This window comes from Homo sapiens, chromosome 14 (genome assembly GCF_000001405.40).
Source record: "Homo sapiens chromosome 14, GRCh38.p14 Primary Assembly".
NCBI classification, from domain to species: Eukaryota; Metazoa; Chordata; class Mammalia; order Primates; family Hominidae; genus Homo; species Homo sapiens.
The window spans coordinates 72,422,067-72,447,097 of record NC_000014.9 but is presented as its reverse complement, the minus strand read 5'-3'; the positions used below and the strand labels follow the sequence as shown (position 1 = coordinate 72,447,097).

General features: G+C 45.2%; 1 protein-coding gene across 53 annotated transcripts in view; it reads right to left on the bottom strand.

The window, feature by feature from the left end:
• Positions 1 to 25,031, bottom strand: part of RGS6 (regulator of G protein signaling 6) — a 762,695-nt gene that overhangs the window by 182,932 nt on the left and 554,732 nt on the right. The gene's annotated exons all lie outside the window — the stretch shown is intronic.

Here is a 25,031-nt window from a genome sequence, read left to right as displayed (position 1 = left end):
GATCTTTGCATCTGCTACTCCCTGGGCCTGTCGTGCCTTCCCTTCCTCCTCCCACCTCTTCCTCTAGCTCAGGGGTCCTCAGCCTCCCAACAGGTAATGGTCCCTGGCCTGTTAGGAACCAGGCCTCACAACAGGAGGTGAGTGGCGGGTGAGCAAGTGAAGCTTCATCTGTATTTACAGCCCCTCCCCATCACTCACATTACTGCCTGAGCTCTGCCTCCTGTCAGATCAGCAGTGGCATTAGATTCTCACAGGAGCATGAACCCTATTGTGAACTGTGCATGCCAGGTAGGTTGCACGCTCCTTATGAGAATCTAATGCCTGATGTTCTGTTCCTGTCTCCCATCACCCCCCAGGTGCGACTGTCTAGTTACAGGAAAACAAGCTCAGGGCTCCCACTAATTCTACATTGTGGTGAGTTGTATAATTATTTCCTTATATGTTATAATGTAATAATAGAAATAAAGTACACAATAAATGTAATGCACTTGAATCATCCTGAAACCATCCCCCACAACCCTGGTCCGTGGAAAAACTGTCTTCCATGAAACTGGTCCCTGGTGCCAAAAAGGCTGGGGAACACAGCTCTAGCTGACTCTGACACATCCTTCAGCCCTAACTCCCTCGGGAAGGCCTTCATTGCCCTCCAGACTGGCTCAAGGTCCTTTGGCTTTCAACGTCAAGAGAACAAGGTTCTTTCTCCTTGAAGCATTTATCTCAGTTTGGAATTAGCCACAATGTAATTATTTGATCGATGTCTGTTTCCTCTTCTATATTAGTTTGCTATGACTTCCATGACAAGGTATCACAAACTGGGTGGCTTAGACAACAGCAATTTATTGTCTATGGTTCTGGAGGCCAGACAGCTAAGATCCAGGTGTCGAACGGGTTGGTTCTTCCTGAGGGCTGTGAGGGAGAATCTGTCCCAGGCCTCTCCCGATCTTCCCAAGTGGCTGGGACCACAGGCATGTACCACCATGCTGGCTAATTTTTAAATTTTTTGTAGAGACAGGGTCTCCTTATGTTACTCAGGCTGGTCTCTAACTTCTGGGCTGAAGTGATCCTCCTGCCTTGGCCTCCCAAAGTGCTGGGATTACAGGTGTGAACCACGATGACTGGCCCAAATTTCCCTTTAATAAGACTACCAGTCATACCAGATTAGGGCCCACCCTAATTATCTCACCTTAACTAATTACATCTGCAATGACTCTATTTCCAAATAAGGTCACATTTTGGAGTTCTAGTGTTTAGAACTTCAATATATGAATTTTTGAGAGAACATAATTCAACCCATAATGCCCACTAAACTGTAGCTCCAAGAGAGCAGGGACCCTGTTAGTTCTGTCCCTGGCATGGAGTAAACAAACATCTGGTACAGAGTTGGGGTCTAATGAATGCTTATTCGTTGATAGTTGTATTCAAATACACATCATAATACATAAACACCCACACATGTATATTCAGTATGTTTTAAATTTTTCCTCAATTGTTTTGTGGCCCTTGAAAACATCATCACAATCTAGTACCAGACATCATATAGGCAGTTTACAAACACTGCCTTAGAGGAAAGGTTCAGGGTCTTTCACCCACTGATACTGTTAAAAAAAAAAAAAAAATCACATCTTTTTGCCTGTAATCCCAGCACTTTGGGAGGCCAAGGCAGGTGGATTGCCTGAGGTCAGGAGTTCGAGACCAGCCTGGCCAACATGGTGAAACCCTGTCTTTACTAAAAATACAAAAATTAGCTGGGCATGGTGGCAGGTGCCTGTAGTCCCAGCTACTTGGATGACTAAGGCAGGAGAAGTGCTTGAACCTGGGAGGCGGAGGTTGTAGTAAGCCGACTGCACCACTACACTCCAGCCTGGGCGACAGCATGAGACTCCGTCTCAAAAAACAAAACAAAACAAAACAAAACAGAGAAATCTCAACAAATTACTACTTAAACAAATATTAGGTAGCAATTCAAAGCCTCCTCCTTTTCCTTATTAAAAACTGGCTGTCACTGGGAAGAGGACAGCAGGCAGAAGGAAAGGTAAAGTCTTCAGCTCTTTACCTCCAGGCTGAGAGACACTCACTGGCCCCCTCCCACCTTTTTGGCCTGTCCTCGCTGCTCAACTGGCTTCCAGACTGCAGGGTGAGCCTGCTTTTTGACTGGCTTTTGTCCAGCGGATAATTTTCCCTTCTTAACAGGCAGGTCTCTGAGTCATTCTGACGTGGTCTTGAACAGGTGGGAGGCATTACATCCAGACACAGCAAATACGATTTTGGGCCCAGTGATCCCTCAAGCATCCTGCCATATGCACTCCTAAACCAGGGGTCATCAACCTGGGGTCTTCTCCCAGGTTGGCCAGATCAGCTTGCTGGCCTCCATGGGTATATGACAACGGCACCCCGTGGTGACCCACAGAAGGAAAGCGAAGGACTTAGCTGTAGCTGGGATGGAGAAGGAGGAATCTCAGGTTTCTCCTGATATTTTGCCTCAAGAACTGGAAACTGATCTGGGAGTAGATCCCACGCTGAGGGAGAAGACCCCAGACCGAGAAAGGATGGGCTCATCTATTTGAATGAAACAGAGAAGCTTGAAAAAGCCAAGATAAAGCAATTCCTGAAACGTCCAGGACTAGAAGACCTGCAGCGAAGGCCTGGGGAGATGGGGCAGGAGAGACAATCAGCTGCGGGGAAGCCCTTGGCCACTGTTCTCCCCCAAGCCCCATCCCCCCTCACCTCCCTCCCACTCAGACTGTGCACTTCCCCATTCTCTGATATTTAAAGCTTTCCTGTGCATTATGAAAAATAATAGGGGCCAGGAGACCCAGCGAGGTTATTACCAACTCATAAATCAACCAGGAGGCTCTGAGGGCTGTGGCGAGGTGTCTGAAATGGGTTCCCCTGGTTTGTTATCTCACCTGAGCCCCCACAATTGATTCATAACCTCATAACCCTCCCACATCCGAATCCCAAGTCTTATATCTAATTGTCAGCAGCCGAGTACATGATTTGCAAGAGGATGTGGGCAGCAGCAGACGTGGGGGTGGAGGAGAGATTAGTTTTGTCAATCAAAAGCGTCCAGGGCAAGGGGAGAGTGTGCGGGATTTAGCTCAACAATCAGCTTATTAAATGGAGGCTGGGTATGGGCTACATTGATTAGGCCTCAGTGCAGGAAGATGGAGGATCGTTGCCACTGTGGACATCGTTTCTGTTCCCCGAGGGTGGCTGTCACTGATGACTGCCTTCCACTCAATCCAAAGGCAGAAATAAGAATCGAATAAGCAGAGCTGCAGCTTTGGGAGAGAAGTGATCTAATGTCAGGTGCCCAGTAGCACCCACCAGAGAGCATGACAGATGTTTCGAGGGCAGCTGAGCATATTTCTGGGATGGCTGGGAGGGACCTGATGGCTGGCAGGCTTGGGGGTTTTATTACCTTCCAGTGGTGTCTAACGGTCACTTCATTTGTGCAAATTTGAATCTGAAAAGTAGTGTATGAACATTTTATATTGAAAATAATCTAGGGGGCTAAGGCTTTCTTGAGGACAGCAGGAGAGGCAAGGGGTCATCTTTCAGATGCCAGGGCTGCAGGCCATAGTTACTCACCAGGACTGTGATCAGCCTAACCACAGGGTTAGCACAGCAACACTGCTAGCACTTCCACAGCATGTGCTGAGATTGAAAGTCTGCAAAGCACACTGAAGTCTGCCACCACTTTGGAACGGAGGAGGTCTGCACAGCAGGGTGTGTGAGTAAACCAGGTTTCAAGCATGGTCTGGGACATACAAGTTCTTGAGCAAAGATCTTACGGGTATAGTGCTCTGAACCTCAGTTTACCCATCTGCAAAATGGGGCCAGCCCTAGAGTCTACCTCAGACTCTGTTCTGTGAGAGTTTGAAATGAGGAAATGTAGGTAAAGACATTTAGCAGTCTCTGACACTTACCCTCCCTCCTTTTCCATCAAGTATCCCTTCCATCTGCCGAAACTGGAAGCTGTCTTGGAGCTGATCTCCTGGTGGAGATTCCTAAGTTATAATTTAGCCTTTCTGCCCCATCTCCCCAGGCCTTTGCTACAGGTTTTCCAGCCCTGGACGGTTCAGGAATTGCCCTACCTTGGGTCTTCCAAGCTTCTCTGTTTTCAATCAAATAGATGAGCCCATCCTTTCTTGGTCTGGGGCCTTCTCCCTCAGTGTGGGATCTACTCCCAGATCAATTTCCAGTTCTTGAGGCAAAATATGACGAGAAGCCTGAGATTCCTCTTTCTCCATCCCAGCTACAGCTAAGCCCTTTGCTTTCCTTCACCCATAGGAGTGGCCAGGAGGCACACGGCTTGGGTATGAATCCAGGCTCCCCTCCCACCAGCTCTGTGACCTTCCATCCTTCAGTTTCTGTAGAATACGATAGAAGTGCAGTCTGAGAGAGTGGACATGAGGATAACACCTGTAAGATGTTCAGTCCTATGTCCTGTGGCACACAGCCAATGGTCAGTAAGTGGTGAGTTTATCATTGTTGTCATTGCCGTTATTACGACTTGAACATTTTTATTCATCCACCAGCAATGATGAATAAGACAGGGCTCTGTCCTTAAACTGGTGCACCAGAATGTTACAAGGGCTATGATTGAACTATTTGTGGGGTGCTATGGGGACACAGACAGGGGAGTAATTCTGGGTGACCCAGTGTCAAGAAAAGGCTCACAGAGGACACACTTGGGATCAATGGGAAACAGTGAAAAGAGATTGATTGAGCAGTGGGTATTAGATGCAGGCTCAAGGAGGACTCATGCAGAACAGCCTGCAGCTCACCATGCTAACAGGACTCCATGACATCTAACATTTATATCCAGGTCAAACGGGGTTTCACAGCAAGTCCCTATGAAATGGAAAAGAGTCCTAGAAGGGCAAAGTCACCAGCATGCTCTGGCATGACCTACATACAAAGCACTATGCCAGACACCAGACTCTCTGCCAGACACCAGAGATTCAAGCATCAAGCAGAAAGAGAACCGAGCTTAAGAACCAGAGGGAAATCATCTCAGCGTTGGTGAGGACTGATCTCCTGTTTCCCAGCATCAGGATGCAAACATTTCCCTCCATTCCAGTTCTCAACCCCATGGCTGGGCCTCATGGCATTCCAGCATCGCTATGAGTGCACCTTTCCTGCAGGCTGCCTCGGGTAGCTGGTGCACTGCTAGGTCAGTCTATGTGACCAGGAGCTGGGCCTCTGGGCAATGCCAGTTGGCAGCCCCCATCCCTCCACTGCTGGGGGCCTCCTATCCAGAAGGGCTTGGTGTGCAGAACGATGGTGCACCATCATCATTCCCCACTTGCCATCTTTCAGGGGACAGCCAGCTGCTTTGGGCGCGGCAAAAAACACCCAACTCACTCCTCTTCAGGGGCCTCTGGTCTGATGCCACCACAGGACATCCTTGAGTGCTGGGCAGTCTGAGGACAGGGAAGGAGTGATGACCACAAAACAGGAATGGCAGCAGCAGTGACAGGAGGAAGTCAAAGGCTTGTGTGTCCTGGCCCTGCTGAGGGCTGGCGAGGGCCCTGGGATGGCGCTCAGTGCCTGGTCGGCTGCAAGAGGCCAGCCCTCTGCCCATGAGGGGAGCTGGCAGTGACCAAGCTGCACTGCCCTGGTGGTGCATTTCCTGCCCCACTCTTTCCTTCTAAGATCCCTAATTCCATTTTTTTCTTTGGATATTTAGATAAGGGGTCAAGGCCTGGCTTTGCAGGACTGGTGAGAAAACTGAAGCCAGTCATGTGAGACTGAGGAGAGATTTTAGAGACTGCAATTCAGACCTCCACACTTTTTCTGGTTCCTGCAGGGAGAGGAAGGGACACTGAAGGGAGGGAGGCTAGGTCCCTGAGGCCTGCAGGGGTCTGCCTTCCTCTTCTGTACCCCTTCAGCCTCTCATTCCAGCCCTCCTTCACCTCCCAAATAGACAAGGTGCCCTCTAATCCCTACCCCTCAATATCAGTGCACAGTGATTGCCCGTCTCTTATTAATACAGAAGCTGTACCTGCACACACTCACACAGTCATACATACCTGCACACATGCATAGATGCAACAGACACCCAACTCGCATGCAGGCAACACTCACACTAACTCATACCCACCTGCACACACGCACAGATGCAACACACATACAACTCATGCATGCATGCAACGCTCACACATATTCACACCCACTTACACACCTGCGCATGTGCATAGACACAAGACACACAACCCTCACATATGCCCGCAACTCACACTCATGCACCTAATAGCTCCTGTAATATGTTCCCACCCCCTAAAACCCTGAAAAATGACAAAAACAGCTCAGGTTAAGAACAGAGTTTTAGGAAATAACTATATGTTATCTGCTAGAAATCTAAGTAATAAGCATAGCTCACCAGGCGCGGTGGTTCACGTTTATAATCCCAGCACTTTGGGAGGCCGAGGCAGGCAGATCACCTGAGGTCAGGAGTTTGAGACCAGCCTGGCCAACATGGTGAAACCCCGTCTATACTAAAAATACAAAAATTAGCCGGGCATGGTGGCATGTACCTGTAATCCCAGCTACATGGGAGGCTGAGGCAGGAGAATCGCTTGAACCCGGGAGGCAGACTGCAGTGAGCCGAGATCATGCCACTGCACTCCAACCTGGGCAACAGAGCGAGACTCCATCTCAAAAAAAAAAAAAAAAAAGAAGTGTAGGTCAAATTTCAACATCACTCATATGCTCAGCTTCTCTAAGTCCATTTGCTAGAAATAATCTTAACTGCCTGCTTGCAGTAGTCGGACAGAAGCAAAGAGGGTCTGAGCGCAGAGCCCAGGGGAGGGAGAAATAAATCCCCTGAGCAAACTGCATTATTTTCAAGATGTCAAATACATTTTCTCTCTCAAGCTCCTAGGTGATTTTGGTCCTCTATGGTTATGGAGTGGTCTTGTAGCTGAGGGGCAGAAGGCTGGGATATCAGGTAGGATAAGAAAGGGAAGAAAGCAAAGCGCAAGTGCTGTCACCACAAATAGACACATTTGTAGAAAGCAGCATCACGTGGATGCTAACAGGGCCCCGAAATGCCACAGCTGGGGAGGGTGTAAGGAAGGTGCTTTAGACAAAGGTTTGGGTGGGTTAGGGATTGTGGAGCAGCCTGCGGCTAGAGCAACAACTAGAGGAAGTTTCCAACCTCAGGTCGAATGGGGTAGCAAGGAGGAACAGTTACAGGAACCCACAGGATGTGGTCTTTCTAGGAGAAGGTGGACAGACAGAAGCCACAGCCTTCAGCAGAACACAGCTACTCTCTGATGAAGGTCTGCCAGGGAATAAGTTACCTGGTCTCCCTCTCCTCCCCTCTGATCTCCTGTTGGTGTCACCCATCAGTTGAAGCCTTGTACCCAGAGGGCAAGGGAGCTTACTGAGGCAGCTGTAGTGACAGCCCGTGAGGCACAGAGGCAGGTAAGAAGGGTGGAGAGTGGCTCTGGAGGGACAAGTGGAGAATGTCCAGCTCAGATGTGGAGGAGAGAAAGTATTTATTGCATAGGCTTAGCGATAGCCTTGTAGAGCTAAGCTTTGTTATTTGGCACACTTTGCTTCCAAAGAGCAGGGTTTTCTTCTGATGTCCTGGTTACTGCAATCTACACTGATACTTTGCATCTACAAAGAGATCTAGAGCTCACAAAGGCCTCACACGCATCACCTCTCGTTTCACCCTTACAATACACCTGAGCCTTTGCACCCATGTGCCCATTTTATAACTGAAGAAACCGAGGTTTGGGTCACCTCATGGTTTCTTACTTTGTTTATGCATTCACTAAAGCATTTATCGAGCTCCTACTGTGCCCCATATCGTTCTCTGTGCTGAAGTGGGGAATGAGACAGAAACAGATGTGGTCCCTGACCTCTCTAAGCTTACTCTGTAATGGAGGAGTCAATGAACAAGGAAACTGCATGAAACCAAGGAAAAACAGCGCAATAATGAAGCTAGAATGGGAGTTGGGAGAGAGGATCACTGGGGACTACTGAGATTGGGGAGGGGAGTGCAATAAACTTCATTCATTGAGAATAAAGAACTCAGGAACAAGAAGGAGATGGTCGTGTGACTCTTTGGAGGAAGAGCCTCCCCATCAGAGGAACAGCCAAGGCCAGATCTCCAAGGCAGGAAGCAAGCTTGATCTGTCCAGAGGGCAAGAGGCAGGCTCGTACGCCTGGAGGTTGGCCACACAGAACACAGTGGAGAGGAGACCAGGAAGGCAGGGGCTGTGTCAGGTTTTAAAAGAAATAGAAAGTCCTGGAAGGCTTCAAGTGGTAAGGGGTCCAGTTTATGTTTTTAAAAGATGTTAGCTGCTGAGTGCAGAATGGATTGTAAAGGGAGAGGAGTAGAAGCAAGGAGACCAGTTTGGAACTGTGTCCACTGGGTTAGAGAAATGGAAGGCTGGTTGGGCACAGGTGATATGGTGAAATCAAGAGAAGCAAATGGGTTTGGAGGCAAGGCTCCTGGTCCTCTCTGATGGATGGGGCTTGCCCATGAGAAAAAGAGGAGTCTCGAGTGACTCCAGGTTTCTAGCTTAACTAGTTGGGTGCACGGTGGAGCTTACATCAACTGAGATGAGAAAACAGGATGGGGAGGACACCTGGGCTTGCGTGCTAGCCATGTTTCGCCTGAGGTCTGTAGGAGCCATCTGAGTAGGGACATGGAGTGGCTGTTGAATCTGGATTTGTGGGGAGAGAGCTGGCTGGAGATAGTATTTGAGAGTCACTGGTGTGTAGGAATGCACTTCAGGCAGCGAGGCTGGATGAGGTCACCCAAGGAGAAAATGCAGAGAGAGAAGAGGGGCTCGGAACCAAGGCCTTGGCTTGTGAGCAGGTGGCAACAGGGACCCCTGGCATGTCTGTTCTCAATTTGGAATGTCTCCTGTCACCTGAGCTTCACTCTTCTGTGACTTAACCTGTGACAATGGCAGTCCATTCCCCTCTCTCGGGAAAAAGCAAGAAAAATGAGCTCCAACAGCTGAACCCTCCACCAGGCCCTCCTGGAACCTGTCTGTTATTTCCACCCCCCTTTTTCCTGCTCCTGTCTTGATTCACAAAAAAATCTACACCGACCACCACTGATGGCATCTGATGGCTCTGCCCTATGACCAAGTCAGATAGACAGCTAAAAATGTCTGTGTTCTCTTCTGATTAATAACAAGTTTAAACTTGTTTTCTGACTTGTCTATCACTAAATCACAGCAGACTCCCTGAAGTATCTTGTGCAACTTAGGAGCAGGGGACGCTGCTTCCAAGTGGATACAGTCACACAGCCAGACAAGTGACTTCAAGCCCCAGATCCCAGTGTGCTGGAAGACTGCGGGGTGGAATGTCATCAGAGCCAGGCATCTTTCTAATGTGCCATCTTCCTCTCACATTGATCAACTTCAGACCAAGAGAAACGGTCTTCTGTTCAGAGAACACGCTAAGAATGTTCCCAAATGGGAAAACCCTGTGAATGGGAAAAGGATGGTGTAAATATAAAACTCATTGTGAATTTATTCCTTTTAGCCCTGTTTTCTCATCACTACCCCTGCCCCCAGGTGCTGGTTACTTGCAAAATGGATTAGATTTCAAGCAGCAAATAATTTTAAACATTGCTAAAACTAATAAAGGGAATACAATAGGACCCAGATAATGAATGAGGAGAGAGCTGAATGAGGAAACCCCAGCAAAGGATAGCTGCTGTAGGTGCTTACAGAATCTAGGTTGTGATTTTTTTTTTCCTTTTTTTTTTTTTTTTTTTTTTGAGATGGAGTCTCACTCTGTAGTCCAGGCTGGAGTGCAGTGGCATGATCTCGGCTCACTGCAACCCCCGCCTCCTGGGTTCAAGCGATTCTCCTGTCTCAGCCTCCCGAGTAGATGGGATTACAGGCACCCGCCACCATGCCTGGCTAATTTTTTTTTTTTTTTTTTTTTTTTGTATTTTTAGTAAAGACGGGGTTTCACCATGATGGCCAAGCTGGTCTGGAACTCCTGACCTCAGGTGATTCCCCCCACCTTGGCCTCCCAAAGTGCTGGGATTACAGGCATGAGCCACCATGCCTGGCCATGATTGTTGACAATAAAAAAATGAAACAGAACAAAGGCACTTCTTGAAACCACAAAGGCATTTCTTGGTCTGTCTCTCCATTAATGCAGTGAGGGTTCTTAAGGTGAGGGACCCTCATCTCTTCAACTCTGCACTCTGACTCACTGCAGAGGCCACACCATAGATTTCCAATAAACATCTGATGAATACACTAAGGAGTGTTGCTAAATCAATGATTTGAATCTTGGTGTCACTAATAACGATGCTGGTTTTCCTTACAGACATTGGTTTTGATTGTTTGGTTACTTTTTAGGTCCACCTCTGACTTCTGATATTAATAGTAAGACAGGTCAGTGGAAAGTTACCTTGCTATTTGCTATTTCAGGTTGTTAAATACATTTATGTTAAGAGGAAATGACCACATTTTGAGCTAATCAGGACTAGAAATTGATAGGTCAGTAGCCCATTTCTGCCCACCTGATTCTCCGGGGAGTAAGATGTAGACCATGATCAAAGCTCTGGAAGAATGTTAACAGCCCAGATTAATATTGAGGTTGTATGGCTCAGTGTATAGGCAGAGCCAGAGGCTGAACTGATCAATAAATGATAAACATACTGTCTGTTTTTGGAACACATTTTCTGAGCAATGGTCATATCCATGCTTACTACCTATCTGTTCCTTAGGCAGGGTAGTAGGCTGAGAGAACCAGCCTTGCAGTTTATTAAGAAGAGAGTCATGTATAGTTTTAAGGGATTGAGATTAGGTCCAGCTGTATGTTCCAGAAAAAAAAAAACAAATAAGATGGCAGTAGCTTAAACAAGATAGAAGTGTATTTGGTAAAAGGTGGCTCCATGGCATCATCAGGAATTTATATCTTAATGTTTCTCTTCTACCATCCTAGTGCTTGACTTCCATCCGCAAGGCCACCTCATGGTTCACAATGGCTGCTAAAGCATCAGCCATCATATCTCAGCTTTAGAAAGGAAAGGCAGAAGGGTCAAAGAGGGTCCTTCCCAGTTGAGACACCTCCCTTTGAGCACATTTCTGAAAATGCCATACTCTACTTACTTACTCTACTTATACATGACAATAGAATAATGTCCCCCCGATGTCCATGTCCTGATCCCCAGAACTGTGAATATGATACCTTACATGGCAAAAGGGACTTTACAGATGTGATTAAGGACCTCAAGATGGAGAGATTATCCATGTGGGTTCTATCTAATCAAAAGGGTTCTTATGAAAGAGAGGTAGAAGGATCAGAGAGAGGAGATGTGATAACACAGCAGGGGCGGGGGCGGGGTGGGAGAGAGAGAGAGAATGAGAATGAGAAGCACAAACATGCCAGAGAGCTGCTGGCTTTGAAGACAGAGGAAAGGGCCACGAGACAAGAAATGCAGGCGACCTCGAGAAGCTAGAAAAAGCAATAACTTCCAGGAGGAATACACCTCTGTTGCCAATACCTGGATTTTAGTCTCTAAGATCCATCTCAGATTTCTGGCCTCCAGACCTATAAGATAAATGTGTGTTGTTTTAAGCCACTAAGTTTGTAGTAATTTGCAGCAGCATAGAAAACTCATACACACATCTTTGGCCAGATCTTAGTAACCTGACCACACCCATCAGGGAAGCTGGTAAAACAGTGTTTAATTCTGGGCAACAAGGTGCTCAGCCAAAGCAGGGTTTTATTACTAAGGAAGGAAGGAGAAATGGATGCTGGGACTGGTAATAGCAGATTGCTTTGCAGGGCTATTACATGAACTAGAGGGTCTCTACACTTAGGACAACAGAAATGTATTCTTCTCACAAGAGAACTGGCCACATCTTGAATCCATCTTGAGGAAATATACCCAAGAAGTTAGCATAAAAAACTTCAGAAGTACTGTGGCAACTGATTCAAAAAGGATTCCAATTACGTTTAGGGCAGAACATCTTCTGGAATGCCTATGTTAGCTGAAAGATACTGATCACAAATGCGGTGGCCTGGAGGATTTGCAAGCCCAGCTGTGAAGTTTAGAGGCTCAAACAGGGCTTTGAGTTTGAAAGAAAGAACTCACTCAGCTATCAGTCAGACTTTTGGTCTCTAAAATTTTTCTTGTTAAAGTCAGGTCATGAGCAAAGCTACTAAGAATCTATGTTCTCTTTTTGTCCTAGTTAAATGTGAGGACTGACACAGAGATTGCAGATAGATCATCAGAGAGAAGCTGCTGGTTAAAAAGCACTTGGTTTACATCACAGAGGCTCAAGAGATGTTTTTTGAACAAAGGAAGAGAATGAGTGAGTAAATAAACATATGAATTTAATGGATTTCAGGAGGGTTTTACTATTCATTCAACATGAGGGCCTTCTATATTCTAGGACTATGTTGACTGCTGGATACAATGCCAAGTAAGATGTGGCCCTACACTCCAGGGGCTTGAAACCAGGGAGAAGACAGATGAATAAACTAATGTTTACTTGTTGAGATCAGCCTGGGCAAGATAGCAAGCCTCTAAACTTCACAGCTGGGCTCACCAATCCTCCAGGCCACCGGAATTGTGATCAGTAACTTTCAGCTAACATAGGCATTCCAGTGCATTGAATGCTACAGAAGATATATTTTCAGGAAGCATGGACAAGGCCCTACATCAGACCTGGGTGCTCAGAACACTTTGCTGAAGGAGGTAGGGCTTGAGATACATTAAAAACATTTTTTAAAAAATTAAAAATGAAAACTTTTTAGAGACAGGGTCTCGCTCTGTCACCCAGGCTGTAGTGCAGAGGTGAGAGCAGAGCTCACCGTAGCCTCAAATTCCTGGTGTCAAGCGATCCTCCTGCCTCAGTGTTTGGAGTAGCTGAGACTATAGGTGCATGCCACCACCTCTGGATAATTTTTTAATTTTTTTGTGGAGATGAGAGCTTGCTACCTTGCCCAGGCTGATCTCAAACTCCTGGGCTCAAGAGATCCTCCTGCCTCAGTTTCCCAAAGTTTGGGGATGACAGATGTCAGTCACTGTGCCCAGCCTTGAGCTGAATGTTAACGGACACGTTGGAATTTGCTAGGTAAGGTAAGGTGGCATTGCAGGATGAGAGAGCAGCATCTTCAAAGCCACGGAATCATGGAACACAACATCAGCAAACATTTACATAGGGCTTACTATTTGCTAGGCACTGTTCTCAGCAGTTTACACATATTCGCCCATTTGTATGCACAGCAACCTGATGAAACGGGTGGTCATCATCCCCCCCTTTTCAGATTAAGAAAGTGAGGCAGAGAGAGGTTAGGTGACTTGCCCAAGGTCACATGGTCTGTAGTAAGTGGCAAAGAGCTGGGATGCAAACCGAGAGTTTGGCTCTGGACTCAGGGTGAGTCATCTTGTACACTCGGAAGGAGGGCTGGGGAGTTGAGTCGTGGAGGCAAGAGGAGCTAGAATTTGAAAGCTACAGAAGACCATTAACAGGTTTTAAGCAGGGGAGCTTCCTCTACATCCTACTTACGATGCTCTCTTGCCTAAAAAGACTTTTTTAGTTAGGCTTTTCTTGACTTTCTGGATTATTCTTTTTTTTTTAATTTTTATTTTCATTTTAAGTTCTGGGGTAACATGTGCAGGATGTGCAGTTTCGTTACTTAGGTAAATGTGTGCCATGGTGGTTTGCTGCACCTATCAACCCATCACCTAGGTATTAAGCCCAGCATGCATTAGTTATTTTTCCTAATGCTCTCCCTCCCCATACCCCAACCCCCGACAGGCCCCAGTGTGTGTTGCTCCCCTCCTTGTGTCTGGAACATTCTTACCAAACCAAGAAACAGGGTGGCCAGTCTCCAAGCTGCCTAGGAGAGGGAAGTTATTTCTAGTTTCAACCTGTGATTTGTTTTCAGGCAATTTCTGGGGACAGGTGATCCAGAAAACAGGCGGAGTATGGGAAATTCTTTGCATCACATGAAACCACCAATCATTTCTGACCGTGTCTCAACATTCTAAACACCTCTTGCCAGTCAAGTTGCGTGTGGTCATTGGACGGTTCAGGGCTAAGGAAATGAATAGGAAATAATCACTTATACCCTATGAGTTCCACTCCCCAGACGGAGCTACAACACGGACCTATGACTGATTCTTCATCATCCTTACTCCCCACATTAGAATGGTGTGTGACACTCTCTTTCCACAGTGTCTGCTGGCTGCCATTAGACTGTATTTGGCTGTGATTGTAGAATTTGACTAAATATTTCCTTCTGCTTCAAGTGGCTACTCTTAGAAACATGGTCCTGGGGTCATAGAATTTTGTTAAAATAAACAACAACCAAAAGGGTAGCATGTGGCTTATTTCCCAGGTTTATGGCTCCCACTCATCCACACTTTCTGGAAGCAGAGATGCTTTAGCTGGGGTGAGATGAAGACCCTTCTTCTGTTCTACCGCCTGAAGGAGGTGGGATGGACAGGAGCAAGGACTAACTGGGCTCCTCAGGAATGCATTATGAGGTTACTGTTCTAAGAAAGATACATTGCTTTCTGATTAAGGACTAAAACTTATAAATAGATCTGGTTAAGCAAATGTTCTGGGTCTCTCTTCCATGATCCTTCCTCTTGCATGTCTTATCTTCTCCACTGTCTCTTCTCTTGTGCATGGAGCTACCCATTACTTGGGACACGTCTTTACTCCTGGAAGGTGAGACACCAAGGCAGAGGCTGTCTCCCTCCCTCCTTAAATGATATCCCTCACTTTTTTGGATCATGTAGAATTGTTAGCTGCCAGAACTAACAATTTCTAGTCAGGACTAGAAAACTGACTTGGTACAAGGCAACTGGGCCACGCCCATCAACATAGCCCAGGACTGGTTCTGAGGAGGAAATTACCCTTGCCAGAGGACAAAGGACTCCTGTCCCTTATAACCCTGGCTCCTGGGGTCTATGTCAATGTCTAACAGGGACACATCTAATCAGCAGAGCCTGAATCACATTCAGTGTCCTGGCTGCACCCAGAGATGGGCAAGGTAGTATCTAAGATTTCTAGCTTCTACTGTTGGAGTGGTCTTAGCCCCTAACAACATTCATTAGTTAGGGGTTTCCTAATCCAAAGCAAGACACTCACATTTGGACACAGAAGACAAGTGACCAATATCCCCTAAATTCCCCTCTTCACCCCCAGATTCAAAATGAGAAAATCCCAAATACCAAGACCAGGGAAGTCTTAAGGGAAAAAAGGCAAAAAGATATCCTGGACTATCACTGGAATAAGAGGAGAAAAGGCGGTCCAAGCTGAACGGCCACTGGGAGATCCAGCGAGAATTTGGCCAGAGGGCTCTCCCTGTCCATATCCCTTGGGGGCCTGGTGATGGGTGCAGGGACCTTGGAAAGTAGGAGGATGAGATTCTAAGAGCTAACATCTGGTTAGGAGAAAGATAAGTATAAAGCACTCTACAGTACCATACAATATATGTCCCTGAGGTGGGCACTTCACTTGAGGCCAAGAGATGAGACCAGCCTGGGAAACATGGTGAAATCCCGTGTCTACTAAAATAAAATAAAATAAAATAAAATAAAATAAAATAAATAAAACAAAATAAAGTGTGGTGGTGCATGCATGTAATCCCAGCTACTTGGGAGGCTGAGGCATGAGAATCACTTGAATATAGGAGGCAGAGGTTGCAGTGAGCCAAGATCGCACCACTGCATTCCAGCCTGGACAATGGAATGAGACTCTGTCTCAAAAAGAAAAATGAAGAGCCAAACCAACTGGGTGCTTGTTAAGATAGCAGATTTCAGGGCCCTATCTCATCAAGTATAGGATGAGCCTTGAAGTCTGCATTTTATTCACAATTCCCCAGGGTGATTTTGGAGCAGGTGGTTACAGTCCATATTGAAGAGTTCTGCTGCTACACAGAGCAGGCATCTGGTCCACCTAAAGAATCCTCATACCCAGATTCCTTGTTGTTTCCAAGTGTACTGTAAGATCCTAGTACATATGGACTTTTGCAGCCCTGTATAGTATACATGCTTAATAAATGTTTGCTGCATGTGTGATGCAACACTTGCATACCCATTATTCAGGCTGTCTCCTGGGCTTCTGAACTTCACCCCTTCAGTTGGATGGAAATCGATAGCCAGCAGGGGAAGGAAAAGACCCAGGAGAGGTCTGAATGAAGCAGAGCAGAACAAAGGAATGTTTCCTGGATTAAATAATATTTTCTGGGCCCTGCAGACCACAGACACCAGCTGTTCTGGGTTTTAAAGCCATGGTTGCAACCCTCAAGAAGCATGCCCATGGGTGATCAGCATTTGGGAGGCAAGATAAAACAAATGATCCTGAAGATCACAAAGAAAGTGCCTGCATAGGATCTGTCTACTCATGCCCTGGTGAAGAAACACAACAACAACACCACACAGAAAAAAACCCCAAAACCAAAACCCAAAAGCCTGCAGGTGCCAGGAACATACTGGGGCTCTAGGAGAGAAGGCTTTCATAACTCAGAAAAGGTGGCAATTTTGCTGAGTACAACTGAGGACATCTCAGCTGGAGACCTAGGGCTGGGTGCACATCCCAAGCTGTTGTGCAGCCAACAAAGGTGAACGTTGTGCATGCTTATTTCCTGTCTTTCCCCCTCCTCTGTCTGCAGAAGAGAATTCTGGCCTGACCCCTGCAGTTTCTTCCCACCCTCAAAGGAGAGTCCTTGATCAGCCATAACATTCTTGGGCTTTTGTGAATGTGAATCGGGGAGAAACTGGAAGTGAGGTGAAGAAAGAGGCAAGTTAAATAATGACTGGAGGGTTTTAATGTTTTGTTTAGTTTTGGGTGGAGATGTTAGAGAAGAGATAATACAGACTATCTATCACGTGTGAGCGAAGTGGATGGGAGAATGGAAAGGTTATTTTAAAGAATGGCTGTCTGCATATATGGATCCCCTTCCTGAAGTTTGAGAGCTATATGTACTTTGCATTTTCTCCAGGTTGCATGGAGGGTGTTGTATTAGTCCATTTTCATACTGCTGTAAAGAACTGCCAGAGACTGGTTAATTTATAAAGGAAAAAGGTTTAATTGACTCACAGTTCAGCATGGCTGCGGAGGCCTCAGGAAACTTACAATCGTGGCAGAAGGTGAAAGAGAAGCAAGGTACCTTCTTCACAAGGCGGCAGGAAGGAGAAGTGCAGAGCAAAGTGGGGAAGAGCCCTTTGTAAAACCATCAGATCTCATGAGAACTCACTATCATGAGAACAGCATGGAGGAAACCGCTCCCATGATTCAGTTACCTCCTGGTCTCTCCCTTGTCACAACGGGATTACAGGGATTATAAGCCAAGATGAGATTTGGGTGGGGACACAAAGCCTAATCATATCAGCTGTCTTTTAACACTGCTGCAAGCCTTCCTATTTATGTAGCCCATCTATGACAAGGCTTCCCTGGGCTACTTCTATCCTATGGCACCTGTGCACATCTGGAGGCCACGTAAGCACATTATAATATCTTCTCTAAAAATGCAGATTTAAGTTCTGATGAATGATATGTTTCTCCTCAAATTCCCATTCCCCCTATGCCCAGTCTCTTTTTCTGGCTGGCTTCATTCTGTTGTCCCCAACCTCTCCTCTACTCTCCTTCATAGGCTTCTCCAAATGCCTCAGGTGGCAAAAATCCTGGCCTTCATAAGCCAGACAACAGTCTCAGCAGGAGACTAGAATGAATTAACTGATCACTGACTTCTTTTTGTTTTTCAAGAATATACCTGGGGCCCTCAACATCCACTCACCCTGCCACATATGAAGTTAAGAATGCCTAATTTAAACCTAGCCATGCAGGATGGAAGTGATTCCCAAAGTGTGGTCCTAGAGCAGTATCAATATCACTTGGGAATTTATTAGAAATGCACATCCCTTTTTTTATCTGAGACAGAGTCTTGCTCTGCCACCCAGGCTTGAGTGCAGTGGCATGATCTTGGCTCACTACAACCTCTGCCTCCTGGGTTCAAGCAATTCTTGTGCCTCAGCCTCCTGAGTAGCTGGGACTATAAGTGTGTGCCACTACACCTGGAAACTTTTTTTGTATTTTAGTAGAGACAGGGTTTCACCATGTTGCCTAGGCTGGTCTTGAACTCCTGAGCTCAGACAATCCACCCGCCTTGGCCTCCCAAAGTGCTAGGATTACAGGTGAGAAATGCACATTCTCAGGCTTGCTCAGCCTTGCAGAATCACTCCTTCTAGAGGAGGGGTCCAGACACTTGTGCTTGAGCAAGACCTCATCCAGTTGACAACCACTGACTTAGGAAAAAGTTTGGAAAGGGTGGATTCCTTTTTACCAACAGCATCACTATCTATATTTCTACAGGATTGAAAGTGCTACAGGTTGTACCCACCGGGCCTTCTATTCTCAAATCAGAGATAAGACCTGCTTCCTATCTGTTGCAGCAAGGCTGCTCTTCAGTTGTTACATGGAGTCGAACCAGAGGCTACAGGAGCCATCACAAGTGGGTAACAGAAGTTATTTGACCATTGATGAAGAGAACTCTGCACTGAATGCCTGTACACCCCAGTAACAGATCAATCCAGAGAGGGCTGAGCCTCCTCTTTGCCACTCACTGCTTCGAACATTCAGAGAGAGCCTAGGAGATAACAAATGCTGCTAGGGCTCTCTCAGAAACACCATCACTCCTGGGCGAACTGAATCTCCCACAGAGAAATCCTCACATCTGTCCATTCATTCATCTGTTCATCCACTGCCATCTACCATCCACCCACCCACTCATCCATCCATCCATCCTCTGATCCAACTAATACATAAATATGTATTAGGTGACCTGTAACTTTGCCGTTAGAAATGTTGAGACCAACTAATTCCCCCTCATCCTTGGTGAGTAAAATCCAAGTGCCTCTGGAATCCTGTTATTTCTCTGTCTCATCTCTATATTGCTTTGAGCTTCTTCTTTCCTTAATCAGTCCTCTTCCCACTTCCACACACACATCTGGAACATCTGTTCTCTGGCTCCATTGGTGAGATAAGTCCCCATCTAGCCTTTGCCTAAGCTAAGGATCCCTTTACCGCTTGGTCTTCACTGACTTCCAGGTGGTCTTTTCCAATGCCCTTTGTTCTTTTCACCTGCTCCCACCTCTGCCACCTAAATTGGGGTTGGAAGGGAAAATGAGCATCTTTCTTGCTTTTTGATGCCCTTCACGACATTCCTCCTTTCTCTCATGTAAAAATTCCTGATTATTTTGGCTTGTATATTCCACTAGAGTCCTCTCTACTACTCCAAGCAATTTTAAAACAAAAAGAGTAAGATACTTTGAATTTGAAGGACTTTGGGGTAGAAGACAGGGAACTGAGAAGCTAACATATCAAATGGGTCCCCTTCATGGATAATGGTGTCACCAAGGATAATGGCAGGTTTGGGGTGGAGAATAAGGTTGTGATCCAGGTGCCAAAGTCTACCCTGAACGAGGAGGAGTTAACAAAAATAGAGAGATGATAAGCAAGACTCCTCCATCCCTGCCACCTAATTTGGGGTTAGGAGGGAAAATGAGTATAACAAACTACCCCCAACAGAATAATCACTTATCTTACACAGAAATCTGCAATTTGGGCAGAGGTTGGTCGGCTCACCTCACTTTGCTCAATGCAACATCAGTTAGGGTAGGCTAATTAGGAGCAGGAGGATCTACAGTAGTCTCTGTTTATCCACAAGGGATATGTTCCAAGACTCCCAGTGGATACCTACAACAGCGGATAGTACTGAATCCTACATATACTATGTTTTTTCTATACATACATACCTATGATAAAGTTTTATTTATAACTTAGTCATAAGAGATTAACAACAACTAATAAGAGAAAAATCATAGCAATATACTGTAAGAAAAGTTATGTAAATAAAAGTTATATAGTCTCTCTCTTACAATATCTTATTGTGCTATATTCACCTATTTTTGGGCCACGGTTGACCATGGATAACTGAAACCTCAGAAAGTAAACCTTGAACCTACAGTACTTTCAAGATGACTCACATGGCCAGCAAATTAGGCTGATGGCCAGGAGCTCAGCCAGGGATGTGAGCTGGGCACTTCTGTTCCTTTCCATGTGGTCCTTTCCACAGAGTTGCTTGGGCTTCCTCACAGCAGGGCAGCTGGATTCTAAGCACAAACATCCCAAGAGAGCAAGGCAGAAGTGCATTGAATGTTTATGATTTAGCCTTGGCAGTTTCATAGTGTTGCTTCTGTTCCACCTTTTGGGATGGAGAGGTGATAGTTCCACAACAGTATGTGGGACACAAGATATTATTCCAGACATCTTTGGAAATACAATCTGTCACACAAGATCAGCCCTCAAAATCTTGCTAACCCATGCCACCCATGTGGAAAAGGAGCTTAAGAGAGACTTCATCAAATCATAAAACTTTAGGAATATGATGGGACAAACTGTTAAGGAAGTTAAGAATTTATTATGCCAAACTGAAGTAGACAGAGCAAGGGATTCGGACTAAAACTGTTTAAATCCTAACTTTACCACTTACTGTGTACAACCTTGGGAATGTCACTCAACCTCTCTGAGCCTCAGCTTCTCCATCTACAAAATGGGAATAATAAATGTATCTTTCCTACTTGACACAAACAATCAGATGGAGTAATGCCAAGATAAGTGCTCTCAATACCATAAAATAGTTTGCTCTACACCTTTGCAGGCCAACAACGGCCTAATGGTCATCCAGATTTTTGTTTCTATGATAGAGGAAGAAGCACTCAGCTATGTGTGTGGCATCCTGGACTTTGTGGCCAGTCTTACTCTTTATTAATTATGTGATATTGAATAAGTCATGTAACTTTTCTGAGTCTCAGTGCGGTCATGGAAGAATAACGCCACCTGCTCTGCTTAACTCTAAGAATTATGTTAAGGGCTTAATATACATGAACTCAGAGGCTTATGAAAAGAACTTAGTAATATAGCTTAGATCACTTGGTAAGTTCAACATAAACATACGTTCGCAACAAAAATTAACATAAATATTATAATTATATTATCATCTAAGCAGCTATGAGTTTTTAGAATTTTTTTGTTAAAAGAGTTTATTTTAACAAAAACTTTAGAAAATATAGCTAAGCAAAAAGAAGAAAATAAAGGTCAAACAATTTTACCGCTTAGATTCTCTTTCTCTTTTCCCTACCTTCTTCATTTTTAATATTCTAGTACGATAGCGTATCACTTCCTTTAGCTGAAGAAGTAGTTTTCCATTTTCTTTTTGCAATGATAAGCCACAAAGCAATAAGCAGGTGAAACTTTTTATGCCTCCTATAATTTCCTTAAGATAAATCTCTAGAAGGAAAATTTCTGGGTCATTTTCAAGGTTTCAAAACATACCATACAACCAGCTTTCAAAACATGTTGAACCAAATTATCCTCCCTTTGAAAGTACGTACATGTGCTAGGCTGGATTTGTATTCTTGTTTATTTTTGCCAATCTGATTGGGAAAAAATGATACCCCATTTAGGAAAATAACTATGTTTTTATAAGTGAGATTCAAATGTTTCTAATACATTTATTGGCCATCGGTATTTATTCTATTTGGGTACTAATATTTGTATACTGATTAACAGGAATTCGTTAAGTATTAAGGATGTAACAGTTTATCTGAAATTCATGTTATAAGATTTTCCCCTTCTGGCCGGCTGCGGTGGCTCACGCCTATAATCCCAGCACTTTGGGAGGCTGAGGTGGGTGGGTCATTTGAGGTCAGGAATTTGAGACCAGCCTGGGCAACATGGTGAAACCCCGTCTCTACTAAAATTACAAAAATTAGCTGGGTGTGGCAATGTGTATCTGTAGTCCCAGCTACTTGGGAGGCTGAGGCATGAGAATTGCCTGAACTCGGGAGGTGGAGGTTGCAGTGAGTCAAGATTGTACCACTACACTCTAGCCTGGGTGACACAGTGAGACTCTGTCTCAAAAAAAAAGATTTTCCCCTTCCAATCCATCAATTCTTTCTTTTATGGTTTCTGCCTTTGGTATTATGCTCGCAATATTGCCGAGACTTTTTAAGGGATGTGCTTTCATTAGCTGTTGTTGAATTAATTTATTCATTCATTCAGCAAACACTTACTGAATGTTTCCTGCATGTCAGGCACCGTTCTCAGCACTGTTGCATCTTCTGAAGCATGGAGCCAAACTCAGGATGAAGACAACCATCACTGAAGGGTTTGTAAACTGAAATATGCAGAAACCCCAAACACATTCCACTCTATTGAAAGACCATCTGCACAGGGAAAGTTTTGGTTCTGGGCAGGGATTATAGCATTGCCCCCCCAGAACTCAGATGCCTGGATCTGATGGCATCTTACAATGAATAAAATCCATATAAACAAGATGATGTCCAGAAAATACTAATGCAAATATCCGTGAATGCAAAGGATTAAAATCACACTAAAAAGTATTAATAGTATTTTTTTCCATATCAGCCAAGGAGGAATAATCAGCAATGATATAATTTTTCATTTCATTAGGAAGTTAATACAGATATGATTTATCCTCTGGGAATCTTTTTTTACAACCCCTCTGAAACAAAGACTCCCAGCAAGGGAAGAATTATACCTCCTTTAAGAGTTTTCACCAAAAAAGGCCTGAAAGCAACAGAACGGCATCTCAGAATTACTGACCCTTGCCCGGACACGCATTAATTCCAGAACAGCTGCAATGCCCTCAGTTTGCTGACCCCTGAACTAAAAAAGCCTCTATTTATTTGTTACTCTTTACTTCTTTGAATCCTGCATTTTTCTTTTTAAGTGAAACATTTCAAGTTTCCAGAAAACTTACCCCCAAACTAAGTCCCATGCAAAAATTGCCAAGGACTCAAGCCCACAGCACTTGACACATTCTAGCAAAGACTGGAATAGGACAGAATACTTGGCCTGCCCTTGTGACTCCAGGAGAGGGCATGTGGGCTTCTCTAGGCAGAGCTCCAGGCCCTACCAGGAATAGCCCCAAGCAGGGTGGCAGCCCAAGGAGACTGTCCCACCTCCATTTACTGGAACCACCTCATGCCTGCTATGCTACCTGGATGGCTTCATCCTCTGAGGAAATGCCACCACGAGACTGGAAGCTACATGTGGAGAGGGATGGGTTTGCTTTTGCTTATCACAACCCCAGCCAGGCACTGAATGAATGACTGGATGAGAATGAAGCTTTCAACACTTCTATAATCCCTAGTGTCACAGCAGGGATCCTGACTTAACGATTTGTATGTAGTAAATGATTTGGGAATGAATATTTTGTTTTGACTTTTATTTTAGGCTCGGGGGTACATGTGCAGGTTTGTTATATGTATAAATTGCATGTCGCTGAGGTTTGATAGACAAATGATCCCGTCACTCAAGTACTGAGCAAAGGACCTGCTGGTTGTTTTTCACCCCTCGTCCCCCTCCCACCCTACCCCCTCTAGTAGTCTTCAGTGTCAGTTACTATTATCTTCGTGTCCATGAGGACCCAATGTTTAGCTCCCACTTATAAGTGAGAACACATAGTATTGAGTTTTGTGCCTCTGCTTTAATTTGCTTAGGATAATGGCCTCCAGCTCCATTCCTGTTGCTGTGAAGAATACGACTTTATCCTTTTCATGGCTGTGTAGTATTCCATGGTGTATGTGTACCACATTTTTTTTTACACAATCCATTGTTGAATGAATACATTGTTAACAATTATTTCCATCTCATCTTGTATCTTATAATTAGAGACCAGACATCAGCTTTTGAGGGGAAAAAAGCAGCCCAGGGCCATCAGCGTGAGCCTGAGGGCCAGGTAAACATGACATGGGGTGGGGGGACATATGGGTGGAAAACCACAGTCTCCATAAATGGGACAAATTTCTGTCTATTTCACGACTTTGTCTGTGGCTATGTCTGGCACCCATGTTCTCTAAAAAGATTCTTTTCCATCTCATATTCCTCACTATATTCAACACGCTGCTAGGGGATGGCCCTCTTCACAAATCCTTTTCTAAACTACCTCCCACGTGACTCAACTCTCTGACTCACCTGCCGTGTGGCCACCTGTCAGGCCCTTCTACTCTTGATAGTCTTTTTCTTCCTTTGTGGGTTAAAACAATGGAAATTTATTCTCTCCCAGTTCTGAAGGCCAGAAGTTAAAAATCAAAGTGTCGGCAGAGTTGGTTCTTTCTACAGGCTCTGCAAGCGAGTCCGCTCCATGCCCTCTCCTGGCTCTGCTGCTGAGCATCCTCGGTGCTCCTTGACTTGCAGATGGGCCCTGGATCTCCGCCTCCATCCTCACTTGGCCTTCCTCTCCCAGTTCTCTTTCTGGGCTTAATAAGCGAGTCCACTTGTGTTTGACCTCCTCTGCCCTCAGAATGGCAAATTCCCCCACATCTGTCACCACTGTGCTTGGCCCTTTGATGCTCCTCATAATGACACCCACTCTCATGGGGACACATACAAGCTGTGGGCACCCACTCCCCAATCTTGGACAAGGACGAGGGGTGAGGCTGCTCTCCTGAGTACATAGGGCTCTCCCAGTCTCTTGGGCTGGCCTGCTGAACTGGACCTGAGCTTTCCTGGAAAACAAAAAAAGCGAGACTTCTTTCTCTCGCCCACTTGACTCTGCAGCTCCAGTTTGGACTTATTTCTCTAGATTTGTTTTCCCCAAGATTGCAGATACTAACAAGAAATTACTAAGCTATCTCACTCTGTTATTATAACTTATAATAAATATACTACTTTATATTATTATATATGTTGATTGATATTATAGCATAACTCAGATGTAAAGCTCATATTGCCGTTCTAAGTATATAAGAATTTTATTTTTACATCCCATTTGTATTAGTCCATTTTCATGCTGCTGATAAAGACATACCTAAGACTGGGCAATTTACAAAAGAAAGAGGTTTAATGGACTTACAGTTCCACGTGGCTGGGGAGGCCTCACAATCATGGCAGAAGGCAAGGAGGTGCAAGTCATGTCTTACATAGATGGCAGCAGGCAAAGGGAGAGCTTGTGCAGGGGAACCTCCCCCCATTATGATACCA